At 49.8% G+C, this 20484-nt stretch overlaps 2 protein-coding genes across 6 annotated transcripts in view, besides 1 other annotated feature; one reads left to right on the top strand and one right to left on the bottom strand.

Annotated features, from left to right (window-relative positions):
- SAMHD1 (SAM and HD domain containing deoxynucleoside triphosphate triphosphohydrolase 1) overlaps positions 1-5407 on the top strand; it is a 61936-nt gene extending 56529 nt beyond the window's left edge. Inside the window, exon 15 of one of the 3 annotated variants that reach the window (NM_001363729.2) lies at positions 2114-5407. In NM_001363729.2, the coding sequence (NP_001350658.1) occupies positions 2114-2248 (135 nt within the window). In that variant the 3' untranslated portion in view covers positions 2249-5407. Of the gene's footprint in view, positions 1-1250 lie in introns of all 3 variants that reach the window. The other 2 variants (NM_015474.4, NM_001363733.2) reach the window with 2 other exon arrangements.
- On the bottom strand, positions 945-19059 carry TLDC2 (TBC/LysM-associated domain containing 2). 3 transcript variants are annotated; one of them, NM_080628.3, is made up of 7 exons: positions 18973-19042; positions 17126-17281; positions 15987-16139; positions 14430-14525; positions 7652-7725; positions 5777-5929; positions 945-2318 (listed from the first exon to the last, which is right to left on the bottom strand). In NM_080628.3, exons 1-6 carry the CDS (start codon positions 19003-19005, stop codon positions 5794-5796), a joined length of 648 nt encoding a protein of 215 aa, NP_542195.1. In that variant the 5' UTR covers positions 19006-19042; the 3' UTR covers positions 945-2318; positions 5777-5793. The 3 variants fall into 3 exon arrangements, with proteins under 3 accessions (NP_542195.1, NP_001291712.1, XP_016883163.1); NM_001304783.1 differs by lacking the exon at positions 14430-14525 and having other exon boundaries at positions 18973-19059; XM_017027674.2 differs by lacking the exons at positions 945-2318; positions 18973-19042 and having other exon boundaries at positions 15987-16134; positions 17126-17213.
- Positions 7270-7992: an enhancer, noted in NCBI's record as "H3K27ac-H3K4me1 hESC enhancer chr20:35515591-35516313 (GRCh37/hg19 assembly coordinates)". NCBI's record gives its function as "activates a minimal SCP1, AML or CMV promoter by ChIP-STARR-seq in naive H9 embryonic stem cells {active_cell/tissue: H9 hESC(naive)}" and the evidence as "EXISTENCE:reporter gene assay evidence [ECO:0000049][PMID:30033119]".
- Positions 19060-20484: the final 1425 nt, after the last annotated feature.

Raw genomic sequence — 20484 nt, 5'->3', positions numbered from 1 at the left:
TTTATCAAAGTCCTGTCAGCCAAGAGCAGTAGGGAGCATTGACACTGAAGGGTTTTAAGCAGGAAAGTGACGTATTTGTTTACATTTATAAAATTCACTAGAACTGAAAGTAGAATGAGTAGAAATTAAAAAGTTGGCTATATGCTAGGCATGGTGGCTCATATCTGTAATCCTAGCACTTTGGGAGGTTGAGGTGGGAGGATTGCTTGAGCCTAGGAGTCTGAGGCTGCAATGAGCTATGATCACACCACTACACTCCAGCCTGGTTGATAGAGCAAGATGCTGTCTCAAAAAAAGAAAGAAAGAAAGCAAGCTGGGTAGAAATAGAGATGAGTTTAAAGACAAATAAATACTGTTGATTTTGAGATAGGCCTTTAAGTACAAGTATCATGACAATAGGATGACTTTTTTTTGAGACAGAGTCTTGCTCTGTTGCCCAGGCTGGAGTGCAGTGGCACAGTTTCAGCTCACTGCAACCTCCACCTCCCGGGTTGAAGTGATTCTCCTGCCTCCGCCTCCTGAGTAGCTGGGACTACAGGCACGTGCCACCATGCCCGGCTAATTTTTGTATTTTTAGTAAAGACGGGGTCTCACCATGTTGCCCAGGCTGGTCTTGAACTCCCGACCTCAAGTGATCCACCTGCTTTGGCCTCCCAAAGTGTTGGGATTACAGGCATGAACCACCACGCCTGGCCTAAATGATTGCCTTTACTGAGGTCAGGAGTTCGAGACCATCCTGGCCAACATAGTGAAACCCCATCTCTACTAAAAATACAAAAATTAGCCATGGTGATGCACACCTATAATCCCAGCTACTTGGGAGGCTGAGGCGGGAGAATCGCTTGAACCCTGGAGGTGGAGGTTGCAGTGAGCTAAAATTGTGCCACTGCACTCCAGCATGGGTGACAGAGCAAAATTCCATCTCAAAAAAAAATAATAACACATTTTTTAAAAACTATTTTTAATAGTTCTATCAAGTCAGATCCAGTGTAGTTCAACAGAAAAAATTTAACATGGGGGTGAGATACAAAAGTTTTGGCAGAGCTAAATGAGCATAGAGGACAGTGATTCAACAGCAGGAAGCTGCTACCACCTCTAGGATAGGAGAGACCAAGGGAGCAGGTGGGAGTCCAGGAGCTGGGGCCACCTGCAAAAGCTAGAACCACAGAATAGTCACTGCCACTGCCGCTCGTGCCAGAGGAGGTAGGGAGAGAAAAAACCTGACTTCTCTGCCCTCTTCTCACCTCCAGTCTCCCACCAGAGCCTCCCACTGACCAAATCTAACTGGAAACCAACAGGCATGGGAGCTGAGAAATGTAATTTACCGGAGTAGCTCCTGTGAGACAGAGTAGGGAGAGGAAGAGTGAAGAATGGATCTGAGAGCAAATAAGCAGATGAGGAGCACGAATCCTCCCACCAGCATTGTATTCCTGGTACAACAGAGGCTCTCCAAGATCGTGCATCATCTTGTAACCAAAGAAGATCTACCCACAAGTTCAGAACAGTTTAGCATAGAGTCAAGTATTAGGAGGCCTTGCTTCTTACCTCTATGGTTTCACGTCATTGTATCGCCTCCCTTTGGATCTCTCCCTTATTTTGGGTGGAGGAGCTTCTTTGGCTGGAGCCTATGCTGATGGGACCAACGTTAGAGCTTTGATGCAGAGAAAAATTTAAATTCTGCAGGTACATACTGTTCTTCCTCCCCTTCTTTGCCATCTTGTAGACCTGGGCCTTTTATTGCAGAGGGGACCAGGCGAGAGAGAAGCTAGGGGTTCAGTGCATCCCGTCTTTCTCCTGGGAAAACAGGACAGAGTTTGTGCTCCGTGAAGGTGTGTGAAGGAGGCCATAGAGGTGGGCAGTGGTATGCTGCTCCCAGTCATCTCTGCAGAGGCCAGTGGCTGTTTTCATGAAGGCTCTTCCTGCGTAAGACTGTAGTGTTTCTAATTTGCCCCAAGCACAGGGCATATGTAATTTGGAGTTTCCCTGGATTGAGGACAGCTAGAAGCAATCTATATGCAAGATGAGGATGTGCGCACTTGAGACTTTCACTCAGAAATAAGATGATGGAAACTGGCTTTTCTCTATTGCCTGTTTTTCTCTCTCTTCCTAATAGGATGGCGATGTTATAGCCCCACTCATAACACCTCAAAAAAAGGAATGGAACGACAGTACTTCAGTCCAAAATCCAACTCGCCTCCGAGAAGCATCCAAAAGCAGAGTCCAGCTTTTTAAAGATGACCCAATGTGAATGTCTGTAGTCAGTTGTTTACAAACTCCCTCTCCTGCACAATTCATTTAGAGGCTTCAATCATAGAATTCTGCAAATTAATGACAACTCATGCTTTAATTTTGTATTTTGAATGTACACGCATGCTGAAGCTAAGTAACTTTTAATCAAAGAAATAAGATGGTATTAGGCAAATCTTACTATACTATGAAAAGCATTACCTTGCCTATTTTTAATATTATTAAAGCCTTTCTCCTTCAGTAGTCTATTTTCTTAGAATAACAACTCTTTTATCTATTCTGAACTCTATTTTTTTTCTTTTTTAAGAGACAAGGTTTTGCTCTGTTGCCCAGCTTGGACTCGAACTTTCCTGGGCTCAAGCGACCCTCCTGCCTCAGCCCCCCAAGTAGCTGGGACTAAAGTCATGTGCCACCACACCCAGCTTACTCTGAACTTTTATGACAGATGATTGTTTTTTGTTTTTAATGTAGAAATGAGACAAGGGTACAAATTGGAACTAGAAATTGACATTGTCATTGACAAACATGGCTAAAAACAAAACATCAAATCCTGCCCCCGTGAAGAGTTCCCTGTCACCTCAAGTTTGAGGATAGTCCTCTAAGAGTGACCTAAGCATAAGTGAAAGACACCTCCCCTCACCCTTCTAGCCCCCTACAAGGTGCCAGGTTGGGGTAAAGAGTTGGAGATGATGGCCAGGAGTGGCCTCCAACACGCTGGTGAGAGGCCTGATTAGGTTTTGGGGAAGATCTGAGAGCTCTGGCCTCTTCGTGAGTGGAACATAAAGCCGCCTCTTGTTGGGAGATCCTACCCCAGTGACAGAGGAATCCCCCAAACTAGGCTGTGCCCTGGCTCCGTGGCGGCTCCAGACCCGGGTAGTGCCTTTGTCCCCTGAATACTCACTCCCCCGGTCCAGAGGGCCTTCCCACTGCCCAGCCTGGAGAAGGCCTCCCCTGACCTGCTCTCTCAGTATCCTGGAGAGCTGGCCAGAGGCCATCACAGGCATCATCCTCAGAGCTCCTCAGACCTGGGACTTTGTTTTTGCTGGTTCAGTGCATTTTGTGTATTTAAGAGCAAACACTAGCCAGGCGTGGCGGCGTGTGCCTGTAGTCCCAGCTACTTGGGAGGCTGAGGCAGGAGGATTGCTCGAACCTGGGAGGCGGAGGTTGCAGTGAGCCTAGATCACGCCATTGCACTCCAGCCTGGGTGACAGAGTGAGACTCCATCTCCAAAAAAAAAAGCACAAACACTGCACTGCCTGTGCTGAAATTAGTGACCACCCAGTGGGCTCCAGGCTCCGCTAGGTAACTTCGTTTTCCCAGCAGTGGAGTGGGCACCACCTTGGTGGGGCAGTGCCCCTGTGCCCAGGGCACACCTCATTCCCAGTTCTATAGCAATTCACCAAGAACAAAGTCTGCAGTTAGAGCCAAAGCTGGTGGTGGCCAGAGGGTGCTGAAGATACAGGCCAGTGGGGATGGGAGCCATGAGCCCCGAATGTCTTCTGCTCTGATGCTCCCCGGACTAAGCCTCCCTGGCACACTGGGAGTGAGGGGCAGCCTGAGCAAGTAGGGGAACTCAGACCACAGGCCAGCAGATTTCCCAGCAGTCCATCACTGGCCACCGTGTAGCCAGATTCTGTTCCGTCCACACTGGGGTGAAGAGTACTTGGAATGTCTGCCATCCTGTATGATCACCCCACCCCCTGTCCATCCATCAGTAGATAATAAGGGTTGGTTACAATTCATAAGAGAATAGTTAAAACACTTCTCCTCTCATGCCTACCATGGTGCTGTATCAAGGGGATTTGTTCACATATGGGCTCAGCAACGCACAAGTGAGGTCAGCCATGGCACTAGGTCATTCCCATTTTAGCCAAGGTGCCTCTATAGGGGTCAGACATCATGTGCCCAGACCTAAGGTCAGGAATGTCATATTTTTCTGTTAAAATCATTTTATTTCTGTGTATCTTACCTTTAAATCATTGTGGTTTACTCTGAGATTCTGTAGTCCTAATATTGTATCATTGTGCTGTCTGCAAAACAACTTGAATCTATTTTGTTTGCATCTTTTGTTACATGTAACGCAGCTGTACTTTATGTTCTTTGCAACTGTTTCCATTATGAGAACGCTGTGCTATTTACAAGGTTACATTTTTCTTGGCCAGGCGAGGTGGTCATGCCTGTAATCCCAGCACTTTGGGAGGCCAAGGTGGGCGGATCACTTGAGGTAAAGAGTTGAGACCAGCCTGGCTAGCATGGCGAAACCCAGTCTCTACTAAAAATACAAAAATTAGCCGGGTGAAATTAGCCGGGCGTGGTGGTGTGTGCTTGTAATCCCAGCTACTCGGGAGGCTGAGGCAGGAGAATCGCTTGAATCCGGGAGGCAGAGGTTGCAGTGAGCCAAGATCAGGCCACTGCACTCCAGCCTCGGGGTCAAGAGCGAAACTCTGTCTCAAACAAAAAGAAAGAAAGGAAGGAAGGAAGGAGGGAAGGAAGGAAGGAAAGAGAGAAAGAAAAGAAAGAAAGAAAGAAAGAAAGAGAAAGAAATATCTTTGCTATTTGTATAAAAATGGAAATTTTAACAGCTTAGCCTCTAGAGAGTTACTGAACGTGGTTACCTTGGGAATGTAAATAGAACTGCAAATTAAAATGACTGGCCACTTCAACTGGGTAAGGGAAACAGCTGCAATAAAGCTTCGTGAATATATATCTCCATCTTGAAAGTTGTGTTCCACAAAGGTTTCGACCTCTTTGTCCAAAAATGCATATTACTCATTTACTCCTTTCATACCTTCATTGTGAAATTAAATAACAGACTCACAAGCACCTGGCACTGGTGGCAGACAAAAAGGCCTCAACATTCTGCAGCAGGCCAGAGGAGGAACGACGCTGCTACAGTATTTATTAGTTCCAGTGCTCAAGCCCAGGTTTCTAAGGTTTGACAATATTCTGTAAGTTAAAATCATTTCCACACATACAGAGTAGAATCCTGTTTTTGTAAGTATACACACACACACACACACACATTCATGGAACATTGTCTGGAAGGATATACATGAAAATGTTAAGAGTTGGGGGGGGTTGAATTTTAGGCAATTTTAATTTTTTTAACGTCTTCTGGTTTTTCTACAATAAACATGAATCAGTTGTAGAACCTCTAAAATGATAATGTTCATGAGGTTGGTTTTCCTCGTTCAGTAGCTGGCGAGGAACAGCATAGTGAAAAATCTTCCCTTTGCCAGGAGGCAGGCACTAGCGGGGAAGAGATGTGGATTTTTCTGAGTTTTCTAAGACCCTGTTAGCTTAGGGTCTCTGTGCTGCTTGAGTAAGGTGTAAGCGTCTTTTAATCCTTCAAAGTCACCTCTGCAAAAGAGCAGTGCCTGCCCCCACCTGTATCTTGGGTCCCCAGGCCACAAGGAGGCTGGCCAGCAGCCTCGGCCAACTCTAGGGCCCTTCACCATCTGTGTTTCAAACAGCACAGGCTGCTGTGTGTCAGGAAGGCCTGGGTGGCATCATGAGCAGGGCTGAGTACCTGTTGCCGCAGGGCTGTCAGCTGAGAAGCCAAGCCTCCAGCTCCTGGATGCAGAACTGCTCCTGCCGGGCCAGCACCTCGTTGTTGAAGGTCGGGCAAGGGGAGCTTCCCCCGCGGAACAAGTCTCCATCCAACCACAGCCCAAACCGGCCACTAGAGAGAAGAGGACAGTCTTGGTGCGGCTCACTCCTGTGTGCTGAAACCCCCAGGCTCTGCCACCAGCATCAGCTCTTGGCCATGCCAGGACGGCAGCCCAGTTTCACCTGTCTTATCGCCCCTTAAAGCAATTTATACTGAATTATTGGGGACTCAGCACATTGTTCCCCATGGGGTTAAGAGCTTTATTTATTTATTTGTTTATTTATTTATTTATTTATTTATTGAAACGGAGTCTTGCTTTGTCACCCAGGCTGGAGTGCAGTGGCACGACCCTGGCTCACCACAACCTCCACCTCCCGGGTTCAAGCAATTTTCCTACCTCAGCCTCCCTAGTAGCTGGTATTACAGGCCGCCCACCACTATGCCTGGCTAATTTTTGTATGTTTAGTAGAGATGGGGTTTTGCTATGTTGGCCAGGCTGGTCTTGAACTCCTGACCTCAAGCGATCTGCCTGCCTTGGCCTCCCAAAGTGCTGGGATTACAGGTGTGAGCCACTGCGCCTGGTCAAGATGGCAATTTTTTTTTTTTTTTTTTTTTTTTGATAGGAGTCTTGCTCTGTCGCCCAGCCTGGAGTGCAATGGCGCGATCTTGGCTCACTGCAAGCTCCACCTCCCGGGTTCACACCATTCTCCTGCCTCAGCCTCCCGAGTAGCTGGGACTACGGGTGCCCACCACCACGCCTGGCTGATTTTTTGTATTTTTAGTAGAGATGGGGTTTCACCATGTTAGCCAGGACGGTCTCGATCTCCTGACCTCGTGATCCGCCCACCTCGGCCTCCCAAAGTGCTGGGATTACAGGCACAAGCCACCACGCTCGGTCCAAGATAGCAATTCTTAATACAAAAATTAGCCGGACGTGGTGGTGGGCAACTGTTGTCCCAGCTACTCGAGACGCTGAGGCAGGAGAATCACTTGAACCCAGGAGTCGGAGGGTGTGGTGAGCTGAGATCACACCACTGCACTCCAGCCTGGGCGACAGAGCGAGACTCTGTCTCAAAAAAAACAAAATGGCAATTCTTTAACCAAAGCTAGTACATCTCAGGGTGCAAACTCTGAGAGCCCAAATGCTTCAGAGCGTCCATTCTAATCCCCTTATTTGACAGAAAACCTCGGCTGAAACCAGGAAGTGAATTCCTGCAGATCAGCAATGGCTGATGTGTTCTGTGCCAAGCTGCCCCTCAGTGGAGGCTTTTCAGGCAGTTGGGAGAGCAAAGAATTTGCCTGGTACTAATCAAGCAATGCTCTCATCCCCGCCCTCAGGATAAGACGCATGCCCCCTGAATGTGAAGGTCACACCAGGATGAGATCAACTTTTTTTTCCTACCTCTCTCTACCCCGTCCTCACCGAGGGAGGTTCCTGCAATGAGTTATGTCCCCTGCAATTCCTGGGCTGGTGGAAAAACGAGGCACACTCATCTCTTGACGCTAGTCTCATCCAACCATGTGGAATTCTTTTCCCAAAGTTGCATACATTCAGACTAAACTGTCACCAGCTGTAACACTTCAGTGGGGGCACTCATGCATCCTTTCTCCTTAATACTGGCTTAGCGTGAGGTTGAGGGGGTTGGCTGGGAGGCTGAGCAATGAGGGGAACGGCCTGAGAGTTCCCCACTAGCCTCGCCATTGCATCAAGGGCAGCCTAGCCCAGCAGTTCGGCAGAGGGAAAGGGACCAGAACACAGACCGCCCCAAGACTCGGGAAGACTGAGACACTCACCTGCCACTGCCCATCATCAGTGAATCCAAGTCTCCCTTCACAAAGAAAGAGTTGCTTCCAGTCCACTTAAAGACCTGGGTGATACATAGGGAAAGGCTCAGGTTACTAAGCGAGCGAGTCCCGCCCTTGCAGTTTGACCCCGAACCACTGGATGGCAGTGTTGTGGCGGGAACAGCATCCAGGCCCCAACCGAGCCGCAGGTGGGACTCCGGGCTCAGGGATCTTGGGGTTTATCTTCTCAGTCTCCTTGGAGTCACCACCGCATGCCCTCTAGTTTGAATTCCTACAGCCTAGAAGCCTCTTTGTTCTAGAATAGGACAACGACCCCTGAGGCTTCCTGCTTCCAAAGCTGGAGGGAGGAGGGGAGCAGTCCAGGCCAGGAGTGGGAACTGATACTGCCCTTCTAACTAACTCTCACCCGGACAACACCAGCCCGCCTGCTCTTCAGTGCTGCCTCACATCCAGCTCATCAACAAGCCTCGCAGCTCTAGACACAGCGGGCCTGCCGCCATTTCTATCCCGTCCTCTGCCTGGATCACAGCCTCCCAGCTGGTCCCTCTGCATCCACTGTCTGTACCTACAGCCATACCCACACTGCAATCTGCGTGATCTGTTCTACGTCCAAATCAGATGTTATCTCTCCTCTGCCTAAGTCCTCCAATGGCTTCCCATTGCAATGGGGATAAAATTCAACTCCTTAACAATGGCCAGAAGTGCAGCCTGGGACTGGCGCAGTGGCTCATGCCTGTAATCCCAGCAATTTTTTAACTAGCTAGGTGTGATGGTGTGCACTTGTAATCCCAGCTACTCAGTAGGCTGAGGCGGGAGGATCACTTGAGGCCAGGAGTTTCCTCGAGGTCAGGAGTTCTAGACCAACCAAGGCAACATAGTAAGACCCTCCCCTATCTCTAAAAAAAATTTTTTTTCTCTCTCTTTTGAGACAGAGTCTCGCTCTTTTGCCAGGCTGGAGTGCAGTGGCGCAATCTTGGCTCACTGCAACCTCCGCCTCCTGAGTTCAAACGATTCCCCTGCCTCAGCCTCCTGAGTGGCTGGGACTACAGGCACGCACCACCACGCCCGGCTAACTTTTTGTATTTTAGTAGAAACAGGTTTCACCATGTTGCCCAGGCTGGTCTCAATCTATTGACCTCGTGATCCGCCTGCCTTGGCCTCCCAAAGAGCTGGGATTACAGGCTCGAGCCACTGCGCCCGGCCCTAAAACAAATTTTTAAACCTAGCTGGTCACAGTGGTGTGCACCTATAGTCCCAGCTACTGGGGAGGCTAAGGTGGAAGGATCACTTGAGCCCAGGAGTGGAGGCTGCAGTGAGCTATGATCGCACCACTGCACTCTAGCGTGGATAACAGCGCAAGACCCCAACTCTAAAAAACAACAAAAAAACTGTCAAAACTTAAAAAGTGCAGCCAGCTCTAACCCCTGATTTTCTCTCTGGCCCCTTCTCCCCCTTATTGACTACACATTAGCCACACCAGTCTTTCCATCCCTGGAACACCCAAAGCCCATTCCTGACCTAGAATCCCTCTGCCCAGAATGCTCTTCCCCTAGATCCTCAGAGGGCCCACCTCTCATCCTTCAGCCCAAATATCATCTCAGAAATTTCCTGGACCACCCTATCTGAAGTAGCCCTTCCTCCCAGACCCTGTTTCATTCCTCTTTATTTATTTATATTAAGGACGTTAAGTTCCGTGTGGCCTGTCTTCTTCCTGGCTGTATTCCTGGAACATATATATTTATTGAATGCAAAAATTATTCAAGAGTCAAAATAGTTTTAAAGGGCTGCAAAACGATAGGATGTTATTGCCTTAATCAGTGGCCCAAAATGCTGTGAGCAACCAAAGGGTTTTTAGCCGGAAAACAGACTAATAAAAGATACGTCCTATGCTCAGGAGAGATGAGATCATATTAACAAGTGACCACAAGGGGACAGAATCATTCAAGTCCTCCTCTACTTTCTCGAAGGACATGACCTTTGACCTGAAGGAGTAAGATACACGTTGCTGTGGAAGGAATTGAGACCAAGTTCATGGTGCCGTTTGGAATAGCAATCAACGAACTACCGAATTCATGAGGAATACAAGTGCCAGAAGGCCAGAGATAGCCAAGAATTAACCAATTTTTTAGAAGATGAGATTCCATAACAATAGACTGGAAAGACAGGCTCCCCTGAAAAAGTTACTCATTTCATTCAACAATTTTTTTTTAAAGCACTTATGCACCAGGCACTATTTTCAGGCACTGGGTAGACTGCTGAATACAATAGACAAAAACCTCTGCCTCAACGGACTGACTTTCTAGTGGGAGAAGGCAGATAACAAAGTAAAAGAAGTTCTCTGGCCGGGCACGGTGGCTCACGCCTGTAATCCCAACACTCTGGGAGGCCAAGGCAGGTGGATCACCTGAGGTCAGGAGTTCAAGACCAGCCTCGCCAACGTGGTGAAACCCTGTCTCTACTAAAAATACAAAAATTAGCTGGGCGTGGTGGCATGCCTGTAATCCCAGCTACTCGGGAGGCTGAGGCAGGAGAATCGCTTGAACCTGGGAGGCAGAGGTTGCAGTGAGCTGAGATTGCCCCACTGCACTCCAGCCTGGGCAACAAGAGCAAAACTCCGTCTCAAAAAAAAAAAAAAAAAAAAGAATTTCTGTGTTAAATGATGGCAAACGCTAGGGGGAGAAGGACACTAAGGGCTTCCTAGGGCTGGGTGTTGTCATTTTATTTATTTATTTATTTATTTATTTATTTATTTTTAGAGACAGGGTCTTGCTCTGTCGTCCAGGTTGGAATGCAGTGGCATGAGCAATGACAGCTCACTGCAGCCTCAAATTCCTGGGCTCAAGCGATCCTCCTGCCCCAGCCTCAGGGGTAGCTGGGACTACAGGTGTGTGCCACCACACCCAGCTATTTTTTTGCTTTTTGTAGAGATGAGACGTCACTATGTTGTGAGGGCTGATCCTGAACTCCTGGCCTCAAGTGATCCTCCTGCCTTGGGAGTCCCACGAGTGCTGGGATTACAGACGTGAGCCACCACACTTGGCTGGGTGTTGCCATTTTAAATCAGGTAGTCAGGGAAGGCTTCACTGAGATGGTGACATCAGAACATAGAAGGAGGTGGGAATTGAACCATGCAGAGATCCAGTGGAGGGACATTCTAGGCAGAATAGCACGTGCAAAGGCCCTGAGGCAGGAGCAGGCTTGCATGTTTAAGGACCAGCTCAGAGGCCAGTGTGGTTGGAGCAGAGCGAGAGAAAGGAAAAGTAGCAAGAAATGCCATTCAGAGAGAGAGGCCAGAAGTTGTAGGGACTTGTAGATCATTGGACACACTTTGGCTCTTCTCCAAGTGAAAGAGGAAGCCAAGGAGTGACATGCTGTGAGTTCTAGCTTCCCCCCCACCATTTTTGTTTGTTTGTTTGTTTGTTTAAGACAGAGTCTCACTCTGTCACCCTGGCTAGAGTGCAGCAGCACGATCTCAACTCACTGCAACCTCCACCTCCCGGGTTCAAGAGATTCTCATGCCTCAGCCTCCTGAGTAGCTGGGATTACTGGCGCATACCACCATGTCTGGCTAATTTTTGTATTTTTAGTAGAGACGGGGTTTCACCGTGTTGGCCAGATGGGTCTCAAACTCCTGACCTCAAGTGATCTACCTGCCTCGGCCTCCCAAAGTGCTGGGATTACAGGCATGAGCCACTGAGCCCTGCCCTGGCTTCCCTTTTAAAAGGATCACTCCAGCTACTGTGCTGACTGAAGTGGAGGCAGTGAGAGACCTTTTAGGAGGTGATAGCAGGGACACACAAGTAATGATGGTGGCTTGAACCAAGATGGCAGTAAAGGACATGGCACTGGTGGATCCCGAATATAGACAGAGAGAAGGCAGAGCTGTCAGGATTTGCTGACAGCTCAGATGTGGGGTTGTGAAAGACAAGAGTTAAGGAAGACTTCAAGATTTTCTGTCTCAGCAGCGGGAGATGGAGATGCCATTCACTTTGATGGGGGAAGATAGCAGGAGGAGGAGGCTTTGTGCGGGAAAGCCAGGAGCTCCGTTTGGGACATGGTAAGCTGGAAATGCCATGTTTGGGGCCAGATGCAGCACTCATGTCTGTAATACCAGCACTTTGGGAGGTGGAGGCTGGCAGATCACTTGAGCTCAGGAGTTCAAAACCAGCCTGGGCAACATAGTAAAACCACATCTCTACAAAAAATACAAAAATCAGCCAGGCATGGTGGCATGTGCCTGGAGTCCCAGCTACTTGGGAGGCTGAGGCAGGAGGATCAATTGAGCCCAGGAGGTGGAGGTTGTGGTGAGCCGAGATGGCGCTACTGCCCTCCAGCCCGGGTGACAGAGTGAGACTCTGTCTCAGAAAAAAAAAAAAAGAAACGCCATGTTTGAGATGCAAGGAGAGATGATGGACAGTTGTTGGATATACGTGAGTTTGGAGTCCAGGGAAGAGACCCTCAGCATACAGGCAGCATGGAGAGCTGTGGGAATGGACGAGAACACAGAAGAAATGAGGGTCACTAGAGAAGAGATGAGAACCAACACCTGAGCTCTGATGTTGAAAGGCTGGGGAGATGAGGACGAACCAGCAAAAGATTCTACTAGGAATAGTCAATGTAGGAATAGTCTAATGTCAGTGCAATGGAAGGAAAATTCTAGACCTTTAGAATTCTGAGACTTAAGTTCAGGAAGGCAAGTGGTGATGAGTAGTACCAGCACTGGCTCACCATGCCTCCCTCACCCTTTCCTGGATCCTGGGAAGCTCGATGGAGCCCCTCCAGCTGATGGCAGCAATGCAATAGATATGGTATATTTTGCCTTTAGCAAAGCAGTCCATAGCTCCTTGTGAACTCCCTGTCATGAGACCAGATGACTGTGTGACTGGATGTGTCTGAAGGAATCTTAGTCTGTGCATTGGAGAGATCTCTAATAGCAGAATACCTGGAACGACTTCATCCACTGAACAATTTAAAAAAAAATTTTTTTTAAGAGACAGCATCTCACTCTGTTGCCCAGGCTGGTCTTGAACTCCTGAGCTCAAGCAATCCTCCCACCTCAGTCCCGCAAAATGCTGGGATTACAGTTGTGAGCCAGCCACTGCACCTGGCCGTGTTTTGTTTTTGTTTTTTCCTTTTTGTGGAAAATGGCATCTTGCTCTGTTGCCAGGCTGGTCTTGAACTCCTGGGCTCAAGCGATCCTCCTGCCTCTGCCTCCCTAAGTGCTGGGATTATAGGCATGAACCACAGGGCTTGGCCTGGCCATTTTTACTAGTAGTAAAAGTAGTATGCTCTGTGCCAAGCAGGTACTGCTCAATAGCTTTAGTGAATAAATAACCCAGAGGCAGGAAACCTTTGGATGGAAGGTGTTTGGGACTATTATTCTCACCCAGCTCCTGGGCAGCTCGAGCCACCTGACTATACCAGTCATCTTGTGCCTGTCACTCTCCCACTCATCATTAATTAGAAACCTGAGCTCTGACTCACCACCCACCACCCTTCACAGCTCTCTGGTAAACTTCACTGTCTACGTGGACTCGTCCAGGCCCTGCCCCAGAATGGGTTTCTGCCGCTGTCTTCCATGTTCACATCTGAGAATTTGTCCTCACCAGGGATGGCAGGTGTCTCCTCCACAGCCTATTTCAAATGTCCCTCTCTCTGTCCACTGTATCCTGTCTTCCAACACATTGTCCAACTGCTGTCACTGCTCCAAGCCTTTGATGTCAAGGAGACCTCTCATGCCGAGCCCACCTTTGCCTTGGTGTCCCCCAGTGCCCCCCGCTTCTCTCCCCTCCCCTCCTGGTCCAGTTTAGGTTCCGTTGTCCATGTTGTATTTTCACTCCCTTCAACTTCCTTTCCCTCTCTGCCGGTGTTAAGCCAGTTTGGCAAAACCCCCAACCCTGGCTGTCCACTCTCTGCTGTCCCCTCTGCAGGCCTGCGCCGAGCAGCCGATGCACTGAAGTGGCGGCGTCCTAACCTCACAACCCAAGCCGCCACTCACACGGCCCAGCGGCGCTTCTGCTGCTCCGGTGTTCTCCAGCAGGCTTCCCTCCCTTCCCACACCTGTGATGACCGCGATACCGGATCCTTCACCTTCCTCCAGCAATGACCTCACCCCATATTTCTTTTTTTTTTTTTTTGAGACAGGGTCTTCCTCTGTTGCCCAGGCTGGAATGCAGTGGTGCGATCATGGCTCACCACAGCCTCAACCTCCCGGGCTTAAACGATCCTCCCGTATCAGCCTCTCAAGTAGCTGGGACTACAGGTGTACTCTACCATGTCTGGCTAATTTTCGTATTTTTTGTAGAGATGGGGGTCTCACTATGTTGCCTAGGTAGGTCTTGAAATCCTGGACTCAAGCAATCCACCTTCGTTGGCCTCCCAAAGTAGGATTACAGGCATGAGCCACGGTGCCTGGCCCCCATACTTCCTGAGAAGCCATTGGCTGTGTCCTCCTTTGTCGTCCTGCCACCACGCCCTCAGGTCTACTTTGGACCATCTTGTCTTCCCAGCATGTGCCTGGCAAGCATGGTCCTCCCTCCTCTCAGCCAGTCAGCGGTTGCCAGAGACCCACCAAATACGTTTTAAATGCAGGACAGGCAGGTCAAGGGGGATGCTCTGCCCACCACTGCCCTGCTCATTCCCCTGTGGGAAGATGGTGGCACACCAGGCAGCCCATCGTGGAGGATGGAGCTGGGAGCCACTGGGACCCCGGGAGCTTTGTCTCGCCACACGCCCCACTCCCCCCATGGAAGGTTGGGAACATCACCTTCAGCTGTGGGGAGAAGGAGAAGAGGAATGTCTCGCCAGTACCATAGAAGCCTTTGCTGAGTCGGATAGCCGAGGAGGAGAAGGCTCCAAATATCTGGAAAGTGGAAGTTGTAGTCTGCAGCTGGAAGGGAGCTAGGGGTCCTCTGGCAACCCTCATTCTTCAGGTTTAGTAATACAGGCTCATCCTAGAGGACACCTGGGAAGCTGGGGCAGAGCTGGGGCATGGGGGCTCCACACCCAAGAGCAGGAATCCTTATGCATCCTTTCCCTTAATGCTCCCCAAGGAAGAACTCCTGCTGCCTTCCTCCTCTGGGCCGTCAGGGCCCTCCTTTTTCTTAAATATACTTATTCTGGGCCGAGCGTGATGGCTCATGCCTGTAATCCCAGCACTTTGGGGGAGGCTGGGGCAGGCTGATCACCTGAGGTCAGGAGTTCAAGACCAATCTGGCCAACTTAGTGAAATCCTGTCTCTACTAAACATACAAAAATTAGCCGGGCGTGGTGGCAAGTGCTTGTAATTCCAGCTACTTGGGAGGCTGAGTTAGGAGAATTGCTTGAACCTGGGAGGTGGAGGTTGCAGTGAGCCAAGATTGCACCACTACACTCCAATCTGGGTGACAGAGCGAGACTCCGTCTCAAAAAAAAAGTATATATATATATATATATATATATATATATGTATATATATATTCTACACAAGTAATCACAGAAAAAAGTAGAAGTAATAGACAAGCAAAAGAAAAAAAGTAAAGCCATCTCTTAATCCCCCTCCTTCTTCCCCAAGATAACCACTCTTAATATTTTGGTATGTTTCCTTCTGACATCAGTTTAATGCCAGTGTACATCTCTATTTTTTTTTTTTTCAGACAGGGTTTCACTCTGTCACCCAGGCTGGAGTGCAGTGGTGTGATCATGGCTCACTGCAGCCTCAGCCTTGCAGGCTCAAGTGATCCTCCTGCCTCAACTACCCTGCAACACCCCTGGCCCCAGTTGCTGGGACTATAGGCATACACCACCACACCTGGCTAATTTTTTTGTGGTTGTTGTTGGTTTTTGGTTTTGGTTTTGGGTTTTTTTAGAGACAGGGTCTGGCTATGTTGTCCAGGCTGGTCTTGATCTCCTGGACTCAAGCCTCCTGCCTCAGCCTCCCAAAGTGCTAGGATTACAGGTGTGAGCCACCGTGCCCAGCACCCCCATAGTTTCTTCTGCTTCTGAGGATGAAGATGCAGTTTTACAGTCAAATGATTATTTGCTTAATGTCTGACCCTTCCCCTATTAGACCATTAGCTCCAAGAGAGCTGGGACCTCTTCTGGGTTGATTCTGCTCTATCCCACCTCTCACCTGGCACACAGAAGGCGCCCCATGTAGATGTGTTGAATGCATAAATGGGGGAATGGCTCTGAGTGGGCAGGTCTCATTGCCATCATCAGTGTCCATTATAGGTGACTTAGTCTGTCACTCTGCCTGCTTGTCCCTGAGCTGCCCTGGGACAGGGCCCATGAGTACCTGGTGGGGTGCCCCCAGAGCCTCGGGTGGTGCCCCTGCCCAGCTCACCTGCCCGTCCTGGTCCCTGAGCACCAGCAGCACTGGCCCGCTGCAGCCCTCCATCCGCCGGTACAGGCTCTGCAGGCTGAAACCGTCCCTTGACGTGCAGAAGACCAGACTCCAGGGATGGCCGGTGACTCTTGGTGGGAAGTGAAAGCTGAGCTGGGGACAGGGTTGGAGGTGAATGGAGGAGTTCTCCTCGCGCCCTCCTGCCATATCCTGGGGGTGGGCTTGGACAGCTAGCATGCATCCAGCACAGTGCTTTACAGGCGATAGAGCAGTTTGCTGTTTCTAGGGACTTTCATGCCATCAGCCATAGCCCTCGGAGATAGGGGTTGTTATTCCCATCTTATAGATGAGGAAACTGAGGCCCAGGGAGGGTGGAACAACTAGCCCAAAGCTCGCATGGGTAGTGAATGGTAGAGACAGGATTTGAACCCAGGTCAGGACTCTCAGGACTCTTTCTGCTTGGTCACCCTTGCCCCCAGAGGCTAGAGAATAGGAAAGATGCTGAACCCTCCTCCTGATCCTCCGTCTCATCCGCCCACCCCTCTCCAGCTTTGGCCTCAGTTCCCAAGGGCTGGTTCTAGGTAGGAATTAGTTTCTTTCCTTTTTTTCTTTTGAGACAGAGTCTCACTCTGTCACCCAGGCTGGAGCAGAGTGACACAATCTCAGCTCACTGCAACCTCCGCCTGCTGGGTTCAAGCAAATCTTGTGCCTCAGCCTCCCGAGTAGCTGAGACTACAGGTGCACACCACCACACCCGGCTAATTTTTGTATTTTTAGTAGAGACAGGGTTTTGCCATGTTGGCCAGGCTCGTCTCCAGCTCCTGGCCTCAAGCGATCCCCCTGCCTTCGCCTCCCAAAGTGCTGGGATTACAGGCGTGAGCCACCGCGCCCGTCCTAGCCTCTTTCTTTACCTCCTTAACCTCCTGGCCCAGTGTAGAGGGAGGTGCTAGCAACACTGGATGATTTTACAAGAAGGGAAAGCAAAGCCCCGAGAGAAGAAGCAATTTGCCGGAGGTAACGCATGATGAGAACAGAGCAAGAGTGACTCTAGGTGCCCCTGGGCGTGGCTGGTGTAGGGCAGGAGGGTGAGACTCTTAGGTTTAGGGCTGAAATTCTTGTGCCATGGGCAATGCCCAGACCTGCCGAATCTCTGAGGCACTCAAAACCTGGCTGGCTTCTGTCAGCTGGGGCACCGTGGGATCCTCAGGAGCAGCAGCTGGGTCTGGAGCTGCCTCCTCCTCCTCTTCCTCTTCGTTACCCTCCTCCCCAGACAGGGTGTCCTCCACCTGGCTGGGCTGCAAAAACACAAAGTGGCCTGGTGTGTCCAGGGACAGGAGGTCCCAGCTTCTACCATCTCCTGAGCCCAAGAGCCTCCTCGGGCCACCTCATCACTCCCTGCCCATGTGCCTGTAACCCCCAGCCCAGCCCAGGGTAGTTGGGGGTTTCCACGACAGACAGGACGCTGCCCCTGCCGCCAGCCTGCTTCCTCCCTGGCCCCTGCCAGCTGAGGGCTGGAGCACAGTCCCCCCACCCCCGCCAGCACCCCACAAGGCTCAGATGGGGCCGTGGGCCGTGCGACTTGTCGGTCTGTTTGCCATGGTCCTGGGTGGGTGGCAGGGATCAAGTTCTAAGCTTGGGAGCAGAGGGGAAGGCAGGTGGTGGCATAGCCCTGGGAGCTTCAATTGTGTGTGTTTGTACATTAAATAATAACAACAAAAAACCCATCCTTGCCCAGGCCTGTGTTCAGTGTGCACTGTCTGTGATCTCTGTGTGTTTCTTCTTCTTTTTTCTTTTTCCTTTTTTTTTTTTTTTTGAGACAGGGTCTTGCTCTGTCACCCAGGCTGGAGTTCAGAGGTGCAATGTCAGCTCACTGCGACCTCTGGCTCCCAGGTTAAAGCAATTCTCTTGTCTCAGCCTCCCAAATAGCTGGGATGACAGGTGCCCACCACCATGCCTGGCTAATTTTTGTATTTTTAGTAGAGACACGGGTTCCTCCTGTTGGCCAGGCTGGTCTCGAACTCCTGACCTCAGATGATCCACCTGGCCTCCCAAAGTGCTGGGATTACAGGCGTGAGCCACCGCGCCTGGCCTTCTGTGTATTTCTTCTTATCAGCATTTTCCAAAGGAAGAAAATGAAGCCCAAAGGTTTCCCCATGAAGCCCGTGAAATGATGCATGCAGTCATATGTGGGATCATACATGTAGGTTCATGTAAAATGTGTTTGTCTGTGCGAATTGTGTGTTGGCTTGGAATAGAGTTGTGTAGGCACATCAATGTGTGGAGGTATTGAGTGTAAATTTGTGTTTATATATCAATGTGTTTGTGTGAGTTGTGATGGTGTAAATATCTACATCCATAAGGGGCATCATTATTCACTCATTCATTCATCCGAGCTTCCACTCTGTACCAGAGTGTGTGTGTGAGTGTGTGTGTTTGAATGTGTGTGTGTCTGTATGTGTGTTTGAGTGTGTGAGTGCATTTGAGTGTGTATGAGTGCATTTGAGTGTGTTTGAGTGTGTGAGTGTGTGTGTTTGCATGTGTATGCGTGTGAGTGTGTATATGTTATATGTATGTGTATGTGTGTGCCTCCACACAATGACCTTGCAGGCTTTTCCCAGGAAGAAGAGACCTCTCAAGGGCTGAGAGATGGACAGGACCCCCTCTCCTGCCCCGCTCTGTTCTCCAGGCTCAGGCCTGAGGCAGGTCTAGCTGTGTGTGGCTCTGAACAGAGCTCCATCCAGCACCCACTCCAGGGAGGAAGGGACAGAGACATCGGTCTGTCCCCCTTGAGAACCTTGGAGCAGGGGTGTTAAGACCCCATGTTCCTGAGTCAGTCCTTGCTCCAAACCACAGGCCTGCCAGGGAGGGACTTGAGAGGGGAACAAGTCACTGCCCGCATCCAACCCTAGCCCAGGCCCCACCCTGCCAGAGACCTCACCTCCTTTCACCTCCCAACCTGCACCACAGACGGAGTTGGAACCCTTACCAGCCGAGTGTAACGCCAGCGGAGGCCTCTCATTCTCCTGTCCCTGCTCAGCCGGCCGTGGGCAGTGAGTGAATCCTCAGCCCTGCCCAGGAAGGAAGCGCTGATAGGTGAGGCCTAGAGATGAGAGGGAGAGGCCTGGGGCACACCCAGCCAGCTCCATGCCCACGCCAGCTGCCCTTTGCTCCCTCTCACCTGTCACTCCAGGCCGAGCTGCTGCTGGGTGAGTCTGTGAGCAACTCGGCATTCAAGACCTCATTGCAGTTAGCATGTAACACGTATTAACCATACACCATAGATTCTGGTTGCAATTCCTTTCTACCTCCTTGTCCTTCTGGCAGCCTGGCCTTGGGACTGTGGGCCATTGGCCAGATGCCTAAGGCCCAGGCTGGAGGTCTGGGGCCTCTAGTTCCCCGTATGACCTTGGATAAGCCCATTTGCACTCCTGAGCCTCAGTTTCACCACACACAACATGTAACATGTTGAACCAGATAATCTCAGAAGACTTCGCGGGACTGACAGTCTGCCATTCACTTCCCTCTCCAAGCCGATGAGTGTGTTAGAACAGAAGCTAGAAGGGGGCATGCCTAGACTGAAAGAACAATCTGGCCCAGTGCAGTGGCTCATGCCGGTAAGCCCAGCACTTTGGGAGGCTGAGGGAGCCGTATCACTTGAGTCCAGGAATTTGAGACCAGCCTAGGCAACATGGTGAAACCCTGTCTCTACAAAAAATATAAAAATTAGCTGGGCATGGTGTCGTGCGCCTTAATCCCAGCTACTCGGAAGACTGAGGTGGGAGGATCACCTGAGCCTGAGAGGAGGAAGCTGCAGTGAGCCGAGATCATGCCACTGCACTCCAGCCTGGGCAAGAGTGAGGCCTTGTCTCAAAAAAAAAAAAAAAAAAAGCTATTTTTACTTTGCATCCTAAACACAGATGTATTTTAGGCTTTCATCATTGCTTTGCTTGTCATTTAACAGAAAGTTTCTTTATTAAGTCTTTGTTTCTTTTTCCATATTTAGTTTCAGATGGGGGTGGGGGGAACAGATGAATTTCTTTTTTTTTTTTTTTTTTTGAGTCAGAGTCTCACTCTGTCGCCCAGGCTGGACTGCAGTGGCATGATCTTGGCTCACTGCAAGCTCTGCCTCCCGAGTTCACGCCATTCCCCTGCCTCAGCCTCCCAAGTAGCTGGGACTACAGGCACCCACCACCACGCCTGGCTAATTTCTTGTATTTTTAGTAGAGACGGGGTTTCACTATGGAACATATGAATTTCTAAATTGAAACATAAATAAACTTTTGTTAATGTTCAGTAAAAAAAAAAAGAATAGATTTTAAAAGGTGTTTTGTTTTGTTTTGTTTTTTGAGATGGAGTTTCACTCTTATTGCCCAGGCTGGGGTGCAGTGGCGTGATCTGGGCTCACCGCAACCTCTGCCTCCCGGGTTCCAGTGATTCTTTTGCCTCAGCCTCCACCCAGCTAATTTTGTATTTTTGGTAGAGATGGAGTTTCTCTATG

This window comes from Homo sapiens, chromosome 20 (assembly GCF_000001405.40).
Source record: "Homo sapiens chromosome 20, GRCh38.p14 Primary Assembly".
Lineage (NCBI taxonomy): Eukaryota > Metazoa > Chordata > Mammalia > Primates > Hominidae > Homo > Homo sapiens.
This window is presented reverse-complemented; position numbering and strand designations above follow the sequence as displayed.